General features: G+C 38.8%; 2 protein-coding genes across 9 annotated transcripts in view; one reads left to right on the forward strand and one right to left on the reverse strand.

Annotated features, from left to right (window-relative positions):
* The window catches only part of PACRGL (parkin coregulated like), a 71,092-nt gene extending 64,494 nt beyond the window's left edge, over positions 1-6,598 (forward strand). The window contains exon 13 of the transcript XR_007096362.1: positions 4,512-6,598. The gene's annotated coding sequence lies outside the window, so the exon portion shown is untranslated. The remainder of the gene's footprint in view (positions 1-4,511) is intronic.
* KCNIP4 (potassium voltage-gated channel interacting protein 4) overlaps positions 1-21,029 on the reverse strand; it is a 1,220,167-nt gene that overhangs the window by 32,170 nt on the left and 1,166,968 nt on the right. The gene's annotated exons all lie outside the window — the stretch shown is intronic.

Here is a 21,029-nt window from a genome sequence, read left to right on the forward strand (position 1 = left end):
TGGAAATAATGATGACCTCAAGGACCTAAGAGAATTGGAGTAAAGAAAAAAACAACCAAAAACAAATGAGCAAGCAAGCAAGCAAGTGAACTGTGATGGTTGATTTTATGTGTTTAACTTCTCTGGGCCATAGTGTCCAAGTGTTTGGTCAAGCATTATTCTGGATAGTTCTGTAAGGGTGTTTTTGAGATTTATTACATTGATGCAAAATTGCGGCTTTTGCTATTACTTTCAATACATTTAAGCTGGTAGACTTTAAGTAAAGCAGATTGCCCTCCACAATGTGAGGGGGCCTCATTGAATCAGTTTAAGGCCTGAACAGAACAAAGACGGACCTTCCCAGAGAAAGAGTGTTCTTCAGACATCATCTGTAATATTGGCTTCCCTTGTTCACCAGCACCCTGCCTTTGGACTTGAACTGTAACTGTTTTCTGAGGCTCCAGCTTGCCAGACCCCTTCATTAGATATCAAGCTGGCCAAGGCTCCACAAAGTGTGAACCAATATCTTAATAAGTCTCTTTATACTCACACATCCTATTAGTTCCATTTCTCTGAAGGACCCTAATACATAAATGAATTAACAACCAATAGCTACAACTCCAAAGGTGGTATGTATACAGCTAATCTCTCAAACATTTTGACTATCTATCTAGCTGACACCAATGGACCCATTTTAAGACTAAACACTTTGCAGTTAGACCCTCTCACACATGGAAATTGTGATTTATTGGCTATTTAATGCTAAGCCAGTTGCTTGGGATAGTAAGGAGAGAGTAAATACCTGGCTCTCTGCCATCAGGTGGCAAGCTTGTGCAAAGTTAGAGCTGGAAAGTTGCCTGGGAGTTAAAAGTTGATGCTGATAAAGGAAGAGGACTTCAAGCAAAGGGACCTCTGCATCAACAAATTTGTTAGCTGCCTTCAGTCTCTAGATATATTTGATAGATATAATGTGAAATGAATTTGTAAACTGACTATCTGATATGCATGTGTTTTATGTTTAATCACATATCTGTGTCAGAGGAAACCTTTTCTCTGCCAAATGAAAACTACTGGCCAAGTTTCAGGGTGGAAAGTCTCACCAGATAAATTTGTTTTTATCCACCTTATATTCATTACATTAGTTTACATCTCTACAAACACATACTGTATGCCTATTATTCCAGGAGTCTTCTAGGAACTGGGACTGCTACAATAAACCAGTCAAAGGTCTTCCCATCATGGAACCTCTATCCAACTAGAAGAATAAAGACTGTCTTTGTTCAGGCTCCTTTAACAAAATGCCATAGACTAGGCAGCTTATAAACAATAGAAATTTATTTCTCATAGTACTGGAGGCTAGGAAGTCTAAGACCATAGGATTAGCAGATTCAGTGCTTGATGAGGCCACATTCCTGGTTCATAGATGGCATCTTCTAGCTGTGTTCCCACATAGTGGAAGGGGCGAGCTAGCTCTGTGGGGTCTTTTATAAAAGGACACTTATCTAATTCATGAAGTCTCTGTCCACCTGATCTAATCATCTCCCAAAGGCCCCACCTCCTAATACTATCACATTGGGGGTTAGGATTTCAACATATGAGTTCTAAAGGGACACAAACATTCAGACCATAGCAAAGACCAATAACTAAATATTAAAAAATCAAATCCAAGAATGATGATCTTTTATTTATTCCCAGAGATTTTTTATTGAAACTAGTGCATTTTTTTAAACCTTCAGGTGAGAAAAAGATGCTAGTGATTTACAAGATGGTATACATTCTGTAACTTTTTCTTCACCTCTTCTGTGCAGTGATCTCTCCATAAAAGTGGTCTCTCTACTTCTCTATCAAGAATGAATTTGGCCAGGCTGCATGTGCAGCAAAGTGTAAAACATAAACAATGTGCTGTATTAGTTAACTCTTGCTGCTGTAAAATTAGGCCTTCAAATGTCCCTTAATCAAAATGCTTGGGAACAGAAGTGTCTTGGATTTTAGATTTTTTGGGATTTGGAATATTCACATTACACTCAGCAGTTGTGTTAGTTCATTTCCACACTGCTATAAAGAACTGCCCAAGTCTGGGTAATTTATAAAGGAAAGAGGTTAATTGACTCACAGGTCAGCATCCCTGGGAAGGCCTCAGGAAACTTACAATCATGGTGGAAGGCAAAGGAGAAGGAAGGCACCTTCTTCACAAGGCAGCAAGAAAGGAGAAGTGCTGAGTGAAAGGCAGGAGCCCCTTATAAAACCATCATAACTCATGAGAACTCACCCACTTATCACGAGAACAGCATGGGGGAACTGCCTCCATGATTCAATTACTCCACCTGCTCTCTCCCTTGACACCTGGGGATTATGGGGATTACAATTCAAGATGAGATTTGGGTAGGGCACAAAGCATAACCACATCACCAGTTGAACATACCTAACCTGAAAATCTGAAATACTCCAATGAGCATTTACTTTGAATGCCATTTTGTCTCTCAAAAAGTTTTGGATTTTACAGTATTTTGCTTTTTTGGATGAGGGATAGTCAACCTGTATAACACAGTTAAAAACCACGTAGTATATTTCTTATTCACATAACAATCTTGGGTGAGTGTACAGATCAGCTGATGGTTCTTCTAGGGACAGAGGCTAATGAAGATTTGGTGACTTTAACATATGGCGCCAACAGTCTCTGTGACTGTGTCATCCAGAAGGAGGAAAAGAACGCTGAAAAGAGTACATGGAAACTTTTTATGGGCCAGGTCTTAAAGTGGTATACATCATTTCTATTCTCATTTTTTTTGTTGTTAGAGATCACTTAATGTGTCTACCCCAAACAAAATAAGAAGTCTGGTATGGCCAGAAAGAAGACAAGAATGCAGATTTGTAAAGAGTTTGGAATATCTATCCCTGTGGCATGTTTGAAAGATACTCCAAGTGTCTGTGTTCTGAAACAGTTCTCCCACTGATGCTTTATTTATTGATTTTTATTTTGTATTTTTGTAAAGATGGGATCTCACTATGTTGCCCAGGCTGGATTTGAATTCCCTGCCACAAGCAATCCTGCCTTGGCCTGCCAAAGTGCTGGGATTACAGGTGTGAGCCCAGCCTCCCACTGATGTTGTAACATGAAGATTATCAAGTCATTTAGCAGTATAAATTGTCTCCATTTCCCAGGTGTCATTTTTAAAGACTGTTTACTTGCTTCAAGTAAACAAGTACAATGAAGCTTAAATGTTTGAGCATGAATTTTTTCATTAGATTTTTCTAAGGATCCAAGAAGCAGTAGGGTTCCTGGGTTTAGGGATAGTAAGAAATGCCTCACTCATCCATCTTCTGAGAATTTGCTGCAAGCTTCTACTAACCCTTATGGTTCTGTATTCTATTTTCTAATGAAATTTTGTCTGATTATTAGCAAATGATTATTCCATGAAAATATGCCCTCTATAGAAAAAAATTAAAGAAAATGAAAATCACCCATAATCTGACTACTGTAAGAGTATATTGGTCATTTATATAAGCATATATACCGTAGAAATAAAGTTTTAATAAGACAAAATTATAGCATTTTATGTTCTTTAACTTTAGGAAATATCCTGAACATTTTTTACATCATGATTTTTAGTGACTGCATAATAATGCATCCATTGAACTTACCATACTGTTGCATATTGAGGCGATTTTGGCATTTTTGCACTACATAGGAATAATGATGTAATTAATATTCTATGCATCCTTCTGTGACTGCACTTGTGGTTTCTTCTTTATGACTAATCCCAGAAGGAGAATCGTAAGACCAACCAGTTTAAACCATTGAAAGCTCTTTCTATGCACAGTCATGGTGCTTTCCAGAAACGCTGCATCCATTCGTGCTGCCACCGCAGCTTTATGAGAAAGTCTCACACCGAGAGGAGCTACCGACTAGAATCACATGGGAATTGGACACACACACACACACACACACACACAACCCCATGAACAAACAGCAATAATTTGCTTCCCTCATGAATCCAATCGTCATTCTGAAAATTACCAGTGGACATTGAGGCGTTTGGACAGGTCCCTCCGAGGCATAAAGCAATTTGCCTGTTTTTCACACAGACAGGGTCGCTGTGATGGCACTCAGCCGGACCACATCACCACAATCACAGCGGTTTATTGAGGATAAAATAAACAACTCCATTCCTTCTTATGCAGACCATTACTTTTAACACTTTCATCAACCCTGAAAGGTGGGTATTATTTAGACATGAGGACAATGAGCTTGGAGAGATGAAGTCACTTGTTTGAGTCACACAGGTTTTGACAGAGACATCTTTTTGCTCATTTATTCAATAAGTAGTTATTTAATGCCTTCTAAGTGTCAGCAAATAGTTCATATGCCTTTTACTATTCTGGGCACTGGAGATACAGGAATGAGTTTTTAAAATTCCATTTCTTTTTTGCTCTTGTGGAATATAACATTTAGTGGAATCAGACTCATAACTCTGACTCCATGAATTGCAATGCTATCTTGCCTTCTGGATTATTACTTTTTCTTCTATTAGGACTGAAAACATAGTCTCCTGGAGAGTCATCTGTGGAAATCCTTCTTCTGGGAAGATGTACACGGTGTATTTGTACCCAGAGGCACCCATCACAGCTGCGTTGGAGAGAGGCATGTGCAAAGGGAAGCCATTTCAATCAAAATTGGGATCACCGATTAAAATTTATTGTGCATTGTAGCTTGAGAGATTTGAGGAAAGCAATCTTTTTCTTTTTAGAAATCTTTGGTTTTAGTGTAACAAGAACCTCCCCACCTTCCTGTGTGCCACATACTCTTTACTGTCATTGTAAATGGCTAGATAGTAATGGGCTGAGGAAAATGTTCTGGTTTTTAGGACCAGTCAAATGAACTGCTCCATCCAGTATTTAGGAGCTGGAGGTCTCTGGTTCTGCTGGCTGGTATACTTATCTATGATGACCATTGCATTTCTTTCATTGCCTGTGAAACCCTTCACTGTGATATGATCACAACACAATAAAAGTAGAATGAGGTTTTCTTTGCAATATAACTGCCATAGATTTGTCTGTTGGTGAAGAAACAGTCGCCTTTTGGGGCCTTACTGCTGTGTTCCCTGATGAGCCTTTTCAGTCCTCTCAGGCCATGTGGGGACACATGTGAGGGTCAAGATTAGTTGTAGATATGCAATGAATACTATGCTAGTACTAATATCAATTTTAATAAGGCAGTATTACTATTGTAATAATCAGCATAAAGTAATACTTTATTGGTATTGATATTTTATAATTATTAATGTGATGATGACAATGATGATACTGATGATATTAAGCTAATACACATGAGCACTTTTTATGTTCCAACCCTTGCATTAAATGTTTTACATGGATTATCTCGTGGGAATAGAAAGATGTTAGTATTAACTCCATTTTACAAATGAATGAACTGTCTTAGAGAGGGGCCACTGCATTCCCAAATTAGAAAATAGCAGATCTAATCTATAGATCACAGAATCAGGAAACTTGAGAGTTTAAAGCAACTTTAGAGGCCAGGCACGGTGGGTCATGCCTGTAATCCCAGTACTTTGGGAGGCCAAGGTGGGTGGATCACCTGAAATCAGTTCGAGACCAGCTTGGACAACATGGTGAAACCCTGTCTGTACTAAAAATACAAAAATTAGCCAGGCGTGGTGGCACATGCCTATAATCTGAACTACCCAGCAGGCTGAGGCAGGAGACTCACTTGAATCTGGGAGATGGAGGTTGCAGTGAGCCGAGATCACGCCACTATACTCCAGCCTGGGTGACAGAGCAAAACTCCATCTCAAACAAACAAACAAACAAACAAACATAAAGCAACTTTAGAGACAATTCAATTCAATGTCCTCATTTTGAAGGTGAGGGGATAGAGATTAAGGAGGTTATAGGAACTGACCATAGATACACAGGGGGCTGCTAAGCCTGACCTCATGTCTAGGTTTCCTGAGGTCTAGGACTAAGCTTTGATACTGCAAATGTCTTCGTGTCCATACAATAGCTGGTAATTTTTGTCAGGTACTATTTAGAGGAATCTAGTGCAGTGCTTATATTCTTGGGCTCTGGAGTTAAATAGAAGGCCTGGGTTGAACCCCTACTCTGCCACTTGGGAGCTGTGTAGCTTCAGGCAAACTGTTTAATCTAAGTCTCATTGCTCTCCTCTGTGAAACGGGGACAGGAATTGACCTCAGAGAGCTGCTATAAGAATGAATAAGATACACATATTATGCTATTATCCTAGCCCTCTACCTTACACATCATATTTGGTCATTTAATATTAGCTGTTAGTACCATGGTAATAGTTTAGGATTTGGTAAGCAGAACTCCATCACGCAATGAGTCACTGTAACATCAATGCCGATAGACCAAGGATAAATCATATTTATCAACGTGGTTGAATCTAGAATAACACAGGTCTGAAATGCAATCAGCTTATGAAGTATATATGAATTACGCTTTCTATTCTAGTGTTATAAGTTGAATCACTCTATCTAATATCATCAGAATTTACCCTAAAAGAAAGGAATATTGTAATTGTAAATGATAGCAGAGGAGAATAAAGGCCACCATCATGGAAATAAATGTCAGTAGAAACCCAGGAGCCTCTTATTTATTAATTTAAAGTTTTCCCCAGCGATGCTTACATGGTATGTTTGAAATCATCATGGAAAGTGTTGGGAAGGGTGCTTTGGAGAAAGATCCATGTATGCATAGGAAATTGCTAAGAAACATATTTTGTGAGTGCTTCAAGAGTTCTTATACTTTCACCTTATAAGGAAACCTTTCAGCATTTCCTGGAAGGTTTTCAGAGCTCTGTTGAAATGCATGAGAAATAGCTGCAGTGGTATGCAAATCACAGGTATAATAACATCATATAATTATAATATTGTCCACTCCAATAATCTTTGCCCACTCTATTAGCTGAAATCTTCTCTTCCCCTAAATCATTCTGTTCTGATATGTGTCTTCTCCTCAGGATCAGAATTGTTATTAAACATTTAGAGACTTCTTCAGGATTAAAAAAAAGAATTACAGTAAGACATTTCATAGGAAAAAAAAACTAAAAGTGCTTGTGAAATAGTTATTTGGGGATCCTTTCATGATACCTGTAATGCCACATCTCTTAGGCATCTGTATATTTCACCAACTCTCACACCCATCTCTGGTGCTAAGGAGAACATACAAGGTAGTCTGCTCGGTCTATCAGTTAAAATAGTATTTAGCATGTAGTATGACAATTCAGAGATTCTCTGGCATTCTATAATTGCAGGAGAATTTTCAAAATTTAAATGACACAATCCTACAACCTGTGCTGCTGATATCACCAGATTCTGTGGACTTCTCTGCTCTCTTTAGAGTTAGTAAATACAAGGCAGGGACTAACCTTTACGATGTTTAGAATAGGGAATACTAAAAATATTTATGCTGAATGAATAAATCTTCAGTCAGTTCTTAGCTTTTAATAAATTAGAAAATGAATTTGCTCTGATAATGTCCTTCAAAACTTGGGCCTACATTTTTAGAACTCCTAAGACCAAGACCAAGATAGTCATGGGGGTTCCGATATCCCCATGATTGCCCACAATGACTATGATCGCAGAAATTAAGGGGAGATGGCTAGGATCAAGAAAAACACTTCTTATTTCAACATAAAAAGCTTAACATAGTCAAAAATTGGATTCTAAAAAGCTCATTTAAAAATTATAGGATTAACCTTTCAGTTTTCAAAGCAGAAAAGCTGATCATTAAGAACTAGAGCTGGCTATAAATTTCTGTTCTAATATGCCCAGGTGTTTGAACTCCTAGCAACTCATTTATTCCTTCTTAGTCTAAATGTTCTCATCTGATATAACAGGTAAGTAATACTAACATCACAGGTAAGCAAAAGAAATGCAAACTAAAATAGACAATGGATGAAAGAAACCCAACCAATTTTAAAAACTGAATATACTCAACATGTTGGATATTTTCTTGTTTCCAAAATCTGCATTAACTGCCTCTTCCATTTCCTGAACACACTTCTGGGGTCAAAGTGGTTAAATAGGCACTGCAGATTAAAAAAAGAAACAGCCAATGGTGGGAAAAGGCTGACCTAGATACTATCCTTGGAAAAGGAATGAGAGCTGGGTGACCAAGATTCAATTCAGCTGCAAGGATGTGGGCACATTCTGAGCCCCACGAGTTCTCAGGGTCACCCAGGATGAAGCAGAAATCCAAGGTACTAGGCAAAGGTTCTCTCCCCTTCAGTTCTGCCCTCTAACCATATGGAAGAAGGAAATCACATGAGATTTACAGCCAAAAAAAAAAAAAAAAACTGGCTCAAGTTTCAGCTCTACTACTAATGAAGAAATAATTGAAAAGTTCTGCTTTGAGTCTTAGTCTTTAAAAATGCAGGAAACAATAGCATCTTATAGTAAAGAAATGAGAACTAATTGGCATTATGTATATAAAGATTCTAGCATAATACTAAACATTCTACAAATTGTACTTATTTTTACTATTATCTCTTCAAGTAACTTAAGTTGGTTCTGCAAAAAGAGATTTTCCAAATTTTGTAGGAAAAGGCTTCCTGGGATTGGGCCCAATTCCTGAATCTTTAGTGGAATGCATGTAGAATTGTTTGATTTACGGAGACTTTTAAAAGGATTTTCCCAACTTTATCCAGAAGACAGTGTCCATTTTGTCAGGGTCTTTTAAAAATTATGATGTAGTGAAATTCTATAGGCACCCAAAACCATTTAGTGGAAAAAAAAGACAATGGTGCCCTGGGACAAAGCCTATGTATCAGTTTTCTATTGCTGCATAAAAAATGACCATAAACTTAGTAACTCTAAACAACACAAATGTATCATCTCACACTTCTGTGGGATAAAAGAGTCTGACATGGCTTAGCTGTGTGCTCTGCTCAGTCTCCCACTTAAACTGGCTATGGTTCTCATCTGGGCCTTGCAGTCCTCTTCCAAGCTCACTGAGGTTGTTGGTAGAATTCAGCTTCTGTGGTTGTAGGGCCCAGGTCCCTGTAACCTTTTGGCTGTTTACTGGGGGCTTCTCTCTCAGCTTCATTCCATCTTCAAACCAGCAAAGCAAAGGCCTGTTGAGTCCTTCTCACACTCTGATTCTCTCTGACTTCCCCTTTGGTAAAGGACTCGTGTGATTAGATCAAGCCCACAAAGATCATCTCTGTATCTTAAGGTCAACTGCCCTGAGACTTTAATTATATCTGCAAAATCTCATCACAGTAGTACCTTGCTTAGTATTTGATTGGATAACCAAGAGACAGGGATCTTGAGTGGCTGCATTTAGATATCTATTAATACCTCCCACAGCCTGCTTCTTCTGAACATCAGTTCATTTTGGTTTTCATAGCAGTTTTTGTTTAACAACAGTCTTTTTTTTACAATTATACTCACAAGTGTATCCACCACAACTCGCAACTATATTTCTTGGCACCTGCCATAGTTTAATGCGATTTGAAAAGACTATATTCTGTCAAGGCTTTAGAATCAGCAGTGTAAAGACCAGCTGTGAGGCCAAAATTCAATATTTTTTATGAGTGCTAAGAATAGTATCCCATATGCTGAGTGTTCCCCGTCTAGAGTATGTCTGCCTATATCCAGAGCAGAAATAAATTTTTTTAGATTTTACTAATTGATTAGATCACTTTCAAGTTGGCATGATATCAGCCTAATAATATTGACCAAAAAAAAAAATACCGAGTAAAGAATTCTACTTAAAAGAAACACGCAGTGTTTCAATCAGAAAGAATAAAATAAAATACAGCAGGTACTCCATATCGCAGCTGCAGCATGCACAGATTCAACTAACTGTGGCTTGAGAATACTTGAAAAAATAAAAATTAAAAATAAATAAAAAATAAGGCAGGTGCAGTGGCTCGCGCCTGTAATCCCAGAACTTTGGGAGGCTGAAGTGGGCGGATCACCTGAGGTCAGGAGTTGGAGACCATCCTGGCCAACATGGTGAAACCCCGTCTGTACTAAAAATACAAAAAATTAGCCCTGCATGGTGGTGCATGCCTGTAGTCCTGGCTACTCCGGAGGCTGAGACAGAAGAATTGCTTGAGCCCGGGAGGCAGAGGTTGCAGTGAGCCGAGATCATGCCATTGCACTCCAGCCTGGGAGACAGAGCGAGACTCCATCTCAATAAATAAATAAATAAACAAACAATATGAATGAAAAACAATATAACAACTATTTACACAGCATTTCCATGTATTAGTTATTATAAGTAATCTAGAGATGATTTAAAGTACATGGGAGGATGTATAGGTTATATGTAAATACTACACCATTTCATATAACGAGACTTAAGTATCCCCAGATTTTGGTATCCATGGGGGAGGGTTCTGAACCCAGTCCCTCAAGAATACAGAGAGATGACTGCATGGAGATGATGGTATACACATATGTTCATATATATATACATGGTTGTATAAAGCCTTTTTATTCCCTGAAGATTTAAAAAAATCTATTCTCTCCCAGTCTGATTTCTGTCACCTACTAAATTGGCTAGATTCTGGCCCCTTGATAACTTCATTTAGACTATGATTTCTGGACTCCTTATGTGAGATTACACATTTTCCTCATGTGTAAGCCATTTTTTATTGATCTTTTTTGTTACTTATAGTCAAAAGCATTCTAACATAAGCTACAACCTTCTTGTCCTTGTATTACACCTTTCTACAGAAAGAGAAAATAAAAATGAGTTGAGTTTACAGGTTGCTGACAAGTTTGGTGAAATGTCTGCTGGAGAAAGAGGTGTCGTCTATAGATTACGGTGGTGGGTGCGCATATGCAGGTCCAGATTTTTGGAGAACGTCTTTTAAAGTCTATCCAAAGACACTTTGAGAAAGCATAGGAATTGGGGGTGAATAAAACTCACTTTTTTTTTTTTTGAGACAGAATCTCGCTCTGCCGCCCAGGCTGGAGTGCAGTGCTGCGATCTCGGCTCACTGCAAGCTCCACCTCCTGGGTTCAAGTGATTCTCCCGCCTTGGCCTTCCTAGTAGCTGGGACTACAGGCACCCGCCACCAAGCTCAGCTAATTTTTTTGTATTTTTAGTAGAGACGGGGTTTCACCGTGTTAGCCAGGATGGTCTCGATCTCCTGACCTCGTGATCCAGCCAGCTTGGCCTCCCAAAGTGCTGGGATTACAGGTGTGAGCCACTGTGCCCAGCTGAATAAAACTAAATTTAATGATCATTCGTGGTCTGCTGGGCACTGAGCCATGTGGTGTAGGAGATACATGTTCTCATTAAATCCCTGAGAAGTAGAAAAGGTAGATGTTTTACCACACAATGTTTAAGAAATGAGCACAGGGAGGTTTAAAGAACTTTCCCAAGGTCAGTGGGACTGGGATTTGAACTTGAGTTTGACTGCAAATCTTTCACATCTTCCTAAGCTTGAAAGGTGAGTGCACCTGCGGGGGGAAAAGTTAACTAAGGGGTAACTTTTATCCCAATGTCTTTCAATCCTATTAATCACTAAAACACAAAGTATTCGTTATTTGTTCAACACGTATTCATATACCAAGCACTTGACTACGCACAGGAGCGTAACGGTTAATCAACAAGCATGGCCCTCATCCAAAGGAGCTTACTACGGAGGAAGCAGTCAGTATTCAAATACTGACATCAATAAATATATTGAAACCCTCAGGGCAAAGCAGCATGAAAACTTGAATTGTTTTTTACAAATAAATTGAAATGTCCCAGGTGAGGGGTTGGAGGATAGGACCTCAAGTTGTCTGGTCATCTGCTTTGGTGAGGCAGGTTCAGGACAGGTCAGATTCAGCTCTAAATACATTTTATACATTTTATTATACATTTTGTTCCCTTTCTCTCTCTCTTTCTTTCTTCTTTTTTTTTTCTTCCGAGTTTCGCTCTTGTCTCCCAGGCTGGAATACAATGGCACAATCTCGGCTCACTGCAACCTCCATCTCCTAGGTTCAAGCGATTCTTCAGCCTCAGCCTCCTGAATAGCTGGGATTACAGGCGCCCGCCACGACGCCCGGCTAATTTTTTGTATTTTTAGTGGAGACGAGGTTTCACCATGCTAATCTCGAACTCCTGACCTCAGGTGATCCGTCCACTTCAGCCTCTCAAAGTGCTGGCATTACAGGCGTCAGCCACCACACCCGGCCCCTTTCCCTTTCTTATTGCCATTCTGAGAAAATACTAGTTTGTCCCTCTTGCACAAGTTTTTCCCTCAGTGAGCTACCATTTCCAGGAGCAGCCCTGAGTCTCTGAAGTTAAAGAAAAAAAAAAAAAGTTTAGTCTGCTTAATTAAGTTCTTGTTGCAAAACTTTCTTAGTTATTACTCTCAGTTGTAGCTTTTGGAATCTAACAGCCCCTCGCTTATGAGCCACTCATATCACTTACTAGCCTGGAACTTTGAATAAGTTACTAAACTTCTTCAAGCTGGATTTTATCATCACTCATTTATGCAGGACGTATTTTTGAAATTGTTGCAATTGTTGCAAATACTTGAGAAGTTTCCACCCTCCTTTGCCTTCTCCTAGTGCTTCTTCAGAGGCTATGAAGGGAACAATTATCAAGGGTCACGGTAGCTGCCTAAAAGGAACCTGTGTCTAGTACTTCAGTGCTTCCGAGCTCTCAGGTGGGACAGTAAAGCCTCTGTCTCCTCTCCATGCCAGGCAAAATGACCCAAAAGGAAACTCCCGGGCCTGTTGACTCTGAGCAAGCTGGGGCAGAACGCTTCCGAGGGCTCTCTGGAGCTCAGACGGCGCTCAGCGTGAGTTGGACCAAACATTCTTAGGGTTGTATCATCATAATGAGGCACAAGGGGGCAGTAGTGTCCTCCATGATAGCTAGAAAAGCGATTTCCAGTTCTTTTTCTTAAGGGATTGTTCTTTTCCTAAGCTTGGTGCCTGTCTGGGTAAATTTCTTTCAAGAAGGCTATTTCCTTTTTATGAACGGTGACAGCCTCATTCCTACATTAGATAATTTAAAAAATTAACTATTTCTGGGAATGGGGCCCAGAGACTCTGATCTCCATTTTGGATATTACATTTGGTGTACGTCAGTCTGAATTCACAATCACTTTTTTGGCAGTTGGGCCACCTTTAATTTAGTCACCAAAAACTTGTAGATCTTAGAAAACAAATAAGCAAGACAACGCCACTAAAGTTCCAAAGCTTGAGTCTGAAAACCTTCTGAAATTGTTAAGTGTATGTGGGCTCTGGAGTCAAAGCTGCTTGAGCCTGCTTTGCTGTTTAACAGGGGAACATTTTAAACCTTTAAGATGAAAATAATGATACTACCCTATCTGGAGGTTATTATGAGGCTTAAATAAAGATAACCCATGCACAATGTCTAGCGTCGTGCCTGGATGTATAAACACCCAGTACACATTCCCCATGGAGGAAATTATTTCTACAATGATGCTCGTTCTGAACCTGTTAGCTTTTGTCATGTTTTCATGTAATATGGGATATTATGTTTATCCTTGTTAAATACCATCTGCTTATTTAATTTCAGAGGATTTTCAGAATATCACACCAGTGTTCCACTTCCTTAGTTATTACTCTCAGTTTTGTAGCTTTTAGAATCTAACAGCCCCTTCCTTATGAGCCACTCATATCACTTACTAGCCTGGAACTTTGAATAAGTTACTAAACTTCTTCAAGCTGGATTTTATCATAATTAATTAATGCAGGACATGTTTTTGAAAGCATATTATATGTCAGAGAGTGTAAGAAGAAATGGAGCTAAAACAATCAAGACAGATGAAGTCCCTCCTGGAGTTTGATGACTATCAGAGAAGTCACACATAAAACAAAGTTCTGTGTAAATAACCATTCAGTTACAGTTGCGATAAGTGCTACAAACCAAGTATGGAAGGTCTAATTTATAGGGAAGACTTCCCTGAGGATGTGACATTTAAAGAGGGACCTGAAGGATAAGTAAAAACTAGCAGGAGATATTGCTGGGGAAGAGGCAAAGGAACCCTGTGTACAAAAACCTGTGATGTGATCAATGACTAAAGAGATGGCAAATGTGCCTGGGGAGTGTGGTCTGAGACAAGGTTGGTTAATTTGGGGCCTGCTAGTTACATTAAGAATCAAGGTCTTTGCCATTCACAAGATAGGTATCATATACCTGTTTTTCAGAGCTCTGGAGAGAATTAAGAGATGATTTACATCAAGTGCCCAGCACAATCCCAATCGCATTCTAAACACTCAGCATCCCTCTCTTTTCTGTTTACTCTACCAGAGTTGAATTTTTACCTCTGGTTTATTATTTATTCAATACGTAATTATTTAGCGTCTACTGTGTATCAGGCTCTCTGTTATAAACTGAACAAACAAAAGGGGAAAAGCAGACATGGTCTTGCCTTTATAGAATCTCTCCACTGATGAGCTATTATGTTCTTTGTGCATATGAATTTATTTCAAGGGAACAATAGTTTCAACATATATGGCGATTAAAATCTTGTGCTCCTATCTCCAAAAATTAAAAGTAAATAAAAGCAAGCAAGCAAGCACACAGAATAAACTCACATTGCCATGGATTGCAATGTAAATAACTCAAGATTATGAACTTGTATGTAGGAGTTACTTCTGCATGTTTCTTTGCTTTTGCTAATGATTAATAATAACGAGTCCAGGCCAGACACAGTGGTTCATGCCTGTAATCCCAGCACTTTGGAAAAACAAGGCAGGAGGATTGCTTGAGGCCAGGAGTCCAAGGCCATCCTGGGCAATATAGTGAGACTCAGTTTCTTAAAAAAAAAAAAAAAAAAAAAAGTTAGCCAGGAGTGGTGGCATACACCTTTTGTCCTAGCTACTCAGGAGGCTGAGGTGGGAGGATTGCTTGAGCCCAAGAGTTTGAGGCTGCAGTGAGCTATGATTGCTGCTGCACTCTAGCCTGGGCAACAGAGAGAGACTGTCTTCAAAATAAATAATTAAAAAGAATAATGATGATTGTTTTTACAGTATATTCTTGCACATGGTACAGATGGTTAGAATAAATCTCTGTACTACTGAAAGTGCTAATAAGTCTCCATTATATTATCTTAGGGGCTAAGTATCCTTCAGGAGGGCAGAAAGACTCCCAGCTATTAGGTGTATCTAAACCCCACATGGCTATGTTTACCCTGAAACTGAGGCAGTCTAACTCTTATTCCTTTCTGTTTACCTGTTTTAATATATTGCATATTTATCTATTTAATATATACAAATGTTGTCTTCTGATAAAGGTCCAGAAATTCCAGGCATATAAAAGAGCTTCAAATCCCAACAATTCTACCACATTCACTTTTCATTTCCATCTGCACATTTTTCATTTTTAGAGCTCATGGATAGTCTAGACATTTATTTGCAAATATTATGAAGGTATTATTTCAATCAGCAAGGGATTCTCTTCAAAACTTATATGAGCTTATGGTAACAATTCTTATTCTCTCTAGTGAGGCATAAAGCTAAAAGTTTTATGTTTTTGCCCCGTAAGGAAGGAAAAACAATGCATGTTTTTGTTTTTTTCTAGTATCTCACAGATATTTTCATTTCCTGGTTTACCAGTTGTTAACCTTAATGCATCCCAGAAGGAGATTAATATTTGGATTTAAATAATAGGAGCTCTACTTTCGGTTTCTTGTTATCTTTGCTGGGAGATGAGAAGTCTGGGGTGGTTTATTCTCTGTACAACCTCTCAAAATTGTACTATAGACCAACATACTGAGGAAGATAAGGAGCAATCCCTCCAGTACTTACAATGCTCATATGAAAATAGATGATTTTCTGAAAGAATTAGAATGCTATATTTTATTAATTGTTTCTAGTTAGACTTTAATTCCAACAACTAATATCTCCTTCTTTAAGAATGATTTCCCTAATTCTACCGTTAGGAAATTATTTAATTCTACCATAATTATGTTTTATTTTTTTCCATTTTATGCCACTGTGCCAGGCACTGTCCATTTTATGACATATTTGTGTCAGCTTAACAAATCTAGCTCATCAGTTCAGAATCAACAATGAACCAAATATTACTGTAGATTATATGTTAATACATAGGAGCACAGTTATTACATGTATAACTATTTCTCCATTTTGTGACCATTATAGGGTAATTATGAATAGATGAAGGCATGATTACTTTAGATCAAAACACAGGCAAAAAAAATGGATCTTCTTTGGGGAAATGTTTTATGCTATAGACTGAAAGTGTGTGTGGCCTCCAAATTCATATGTTGAAACCTAATCTCCATTATGATCATATTGGGAGGCGGGGTCTTTGGGAGGTGTGTTAGTTCATTCTCAGGCTGCTATAAAGAACTGTTCAAGAATGGGTAATTTATAAAGAAAAGAGGTTTAATTGACTCATAGTTCCACAGGGCTATAGACGCCTCAGAAAACTTAGGGCAGAAAGGGAAGAAAACATGTCCTTCTTCACATGGCAGCAGAAAGGAGAAGTGCCAGGTGAAGGGGGAAAGCCCCTTATAAAACCATCAGCTCTTGTGAGAACTCACTCACTATCATGAGAATAGCATGGGGGCAACTGCCCCCATGATTCAATTACCTCCCACTGGATCCTTCCCAGAACACATGGGGATTATGGGAACTACAATTCAAGATGAGATTTGGGAAGGGACAGAAAGCCTAACTGTATCAGGAGGTGATTAGGTCATAAGACTTAAGTTTTTAATGAATAGGATTAATGTTCTTATAAAAGAGGCCCAAAGAGCTGCTGTGCCTCCTCCGCCAAGCCCTAGTGACATAATGGAAATATGGTCTTCCATGAACCAGGAAGAGGGACTTTACCAGTAACCAAATCTGTCAGCACCTCGATCCTGGACTTCCCATCCTCCAGAAATGTAAGAAATAAATTTCTGTTGTCTATAAGCCACCCAGTTTATGGTAATTTGTGACAGTGGAGGTTGTAGATTACAGAGAAAAAGTGGAGGTTGTAGATTGCAGAGATGAATTAGTGTAGTTTATGAAACCATGAAGTTTGACGTTCCTGAGGGATATCCCAGAGAAGTTGGGAAACCAGTAATTAGAAAGGAGTTTGGAACTCAGGTCAGAGGTCAAAGCTTACAGCTATCAGTTTGTGCTCCTTTAGCACATAGGTATAGAGATCTCCCAAGGAAAATACCTAATGAAGAAAACCAGGGAGCTGAATGCACAGCCTTGGTGGGAAGCTACATTTAAAAAACAGGAATGGGATAAGCAGTCCATGAAGACCAGGATAAAGTAGACAGAGAGGTACAAGGAGAAGCCGTAGATTATATCAAAGGAACCAAGGAAGAAGAGGCATTCAAGTAACTCAAGGCCTCCACTCCCAAACTCAGCAGAGACTTCAGTTAGGTCCAGAGAAGTCACAGGAGAAAGTGTTAGTAGCATAGACTCTGAAACAGGCTGTGTAGGCTTGCATCTAGTCTCCACTACTCACACTAGCTGTGTTTCTTAAATTCTTTGTGCCAGTTTATTAATTTACTTGTGCCTCACTTGCCTTATCTGTAAAATGGGACTAATAGTATACTTACCCCATAGAGTTAATACAACCATAACATTGACCAATATTTGTAGAACCTTAAATTCTTAACTCATAGTTAGAATTAAATATATTTATTGAATTTAAATCAAGCAATTCATAGATGTCAAGATTGGAAACTATTCAGTGGATTTGCAAATGAAATGTAGTTTTGACACACACACAAATCAGTACAAGGAAAACTGGGGAAATCTGAATAAGATCAGTGGATTACATCAATGTGAGTAACCTGATTTAATATTGTACTGCAGCTTTACAAGATGATACTACTGGGGGAAATGGTACCTGGTGACCTCCTTGGACTATTTCTTACTATTGCATGGCAACCTATTGTTATCTCAAAATAACAAGTTTAATTTAAAAATATTGGTAGCCATGGAAAATAAAGGTGGTCTTGACCTATGAAAGAACAATTTAAATGACATGGTAGAGGCAGAAGCCAAGAGTTAAGAAATAAATGCAGATGAGGGGTTATATAGACTGAACTTAGACAGCTGTTTTAGGAATTTTATGTAAGAGTATAAGAATGAGACTTGCCAATAGTTAGAGAGAGCTGTGTGTGCATGTAAAAGTTGTTGTTATTGCTGATTTGGAATGAGTATGTCTTCTAATGCATTTTTTAAGGGTGAATGAGACTTGACTAGCATTACAATATGTAAGGAGGCAGCTAGGAAAAGAGGAAGAGACAGGGAGGAGGAGGAAGGGAGGGAGGCAGATAAATTATAAAGAGGAATCAAGATATCATAGGAAGTGGGATTGAAAACACTAGGGAAATGGAACATTCTTTTCTTTTATACAGGAAGAATAAGTCAGCAAATAAATACCAAACAGGTGCCAGCTATACACTGGACTTCCTTCTAGGAGTTAATTAAGCACTGTGGTTTTGATTGAATAATACAGATCAAATTCCTCTGTCCCGTGAGAAAATGAGACAGTTCTGTAGGTACATTTACTGCTGGAATCAGAAGAGCTGTAAGGATGTATAGGCATGTTACTGTAAATAGATGAGGAGACACTAGATCATGAAAAAGAGACAAGATTATCAAGCTGAGTGTAAAAATTGCTAATTAGTAGTGACTCTCATATCTGGATTTTTGTTTGGTTTTCCCCAGCAAGTAATAGAGAAGTGGAAGACAAATCATTCTCTGACCCTAGAGTTCGGTGACCCCAGAGCCATATAGGTATGTGACAGGTTGGAAACTGGCTTCTCAAAATATATTGATAACCTAATCTCTGGAACCTACCTTACAAGTCCCCCCTGCCCCACAACCCCCCCCCCCCACACAAAAAAGAAATGAAAACAAAAAAAATTTCAGGTATAATTAGTTTAAGGATCTCTATAAGGAGAGATTATCCTGGATTATCCAAGTGGGCCTTTTAGGCTATCCCAATTGTCCTTACAGGAGAGAGGCAGAGAGATGTGACATACATACAGAGGAGGAAGGGATATGATGATGGACCAGAGAGACATTTGAAGATGTTGACCTTGAAAATTACAGTGGTGCAGCCACAAGCCAAGGAATGGTGACAGCTGCCAGAAGAGGAAGGAAAAGATTCTCCCCCAGAATTTCTCAAGGGAGCATGGCCCTGCTAACACCTTGATTTTGGCTCAGTGATATTAATTTCAGACTTTCGACCTCTAGACAGTAAGAGAGTAAATTTTTGTTGTTTTAAGCCTTTCAGTTTGTAGTATGTTGCTACAGCTGCATTAGGAAACTAATACATGCATGATTGTAGGACATGGATAAGGAAGTAGGGATGTTCAAGGGTATTTCAGGAAATCAACCATATAGTGCAGATTAGTATGGAACTTGTGAGACTAAGAAGGGCTGGTGATCCCAAAGGTCTTGCTTGCAGAATCAATGAGCAGAATGTAGTGAGATTGAGGGCTTAAGACAGTTGAATGGATATAAGGTTGTGGTCAAAAGGGTGAGACCATCATTTAGGATGTCAGGAATTAAGTAGTTTCAGGTAATAATAAAGTCCAAGTGATATCCATCAGAGTGAAAAGTGGAATGGAAAAGAAAATAATGGCATTTAAAGAGTCAAAAAACACTGAAGCTCAGGTGAGTGGCTGGTAGGCAGGTCAACTCCATGGATATTACTGTCAAGCCAATGAACAAAGATTTTAAAGTCAGCGATCAAAGTCTGGAATGAGTATGATACAGAAACTCTCCCAGTAATAACATGAGACGCCCTGATTCTGGTTCTCTGTGACTCAGCTCTGTTAGACAATTTTCTTACTTCAGGAACTGCCAATACCCCATTTAACATGATGCTGGTGAGGCTTTTAATCCCATTTCCATGGGCCACAGGGCTAGGTCAAATGATGCAGGCTTTTCCAGGAACAGTTCTCCATCCCCCAGGCCAAAATGATTGGTTCAGTGTCATGTGACTAAAACTAGTTCCTGCCTTGCTGGAGTTATTAGCACGGAGAAAAGGTGAGTAAAAGAGACAGCATCCTGATACACTGTTGGAGCCTTGATCCAGCCATGCCTGATGCTGTAAGTATTCCTATCTTAGATATGTGAGTCAATAAACCTTTAACTTAAGATACTTTGAATGGGTTTTTGTTACATGTACTCAAAAATATCCTAATTTATACCAGAATAGTATTATTTTCTTGCTCTTTGTTCTTTACAGGGTGGCTACAAAGGAATCAATGTAGCCTCGTAGTTTCTCTGGATGGTATTTCAGTGCTTTGGGAGATAACCACCACATAAATGAGAGAGTTCCTATTTTTCTTTGTTATTGTTTTACTATCTAACCCCAGCTACAAGAAAGGATATATTGGTTTATTTTACAAACTTTATCTTCACAATCAGAAGGATGTGAGCTGTAGAGCATTATTTTAAAGACCAGTCGGAAGATGAAATGGTGCAAAAAATAAAAAAAGAAGAAAACCAAATTAATCTGCAAACACATTAGAATTTTCAAGATTTAATTTCACTGTTATTTTTGCCCATTTGAAGCAAATCTATTCACTAGATCTCTATTAAATCCCTACTGTAAGCCAGGTACAAATAAATGAGATGAACAATTTGAACTGATTTCAAGTTGCAAAGTAACAATTATATGATGAATTTCTTTGAGAAGCAAATGTTGGTATATCAGTCCATTTTCCCGCTGCTGATAAAGACATACCCAAGACTGGGAAGAAAAAGAGGTTTAATTGGACGTACAGTTCCACATGGCTGGGGAGGCCTCAGAATCATGGCAGGAGGCAGAAGGCACTTCTTACATGGTGGCAGCAAGAGAAAATGAGGAAGATGAAAGAATGAAACCTGATAAAACCATCAGATCTCATGAGACTTATTCGCTACCACAAGAACAGTATGGGGAAAACCACCCCATGATTCAAATTATCTCCCATTGGGTCCCTCCTACAACATGTGCAAATTATGGGAGTATAATTCAAGATGAGATTTGGGTGGGGACACAGAGCCAAACCATATCATTCAATCCCTGGCCCCTCCAAATCTCATGTCCTCACATTT

The sequence above is a fragment of the Homo sapiens genome, chromosome 4 (assembly GCF_000001405.40).
Source record: "Homo sapiens chromosome 4, GRCh38.p14 Primary Assembly".
Taxonomy (NCBI): domain Eukaryota; kingdom Metazoa; phylum Chordata; class Mammalia; order Primates; family Hominidae; genus Homo; species Homo sapiens.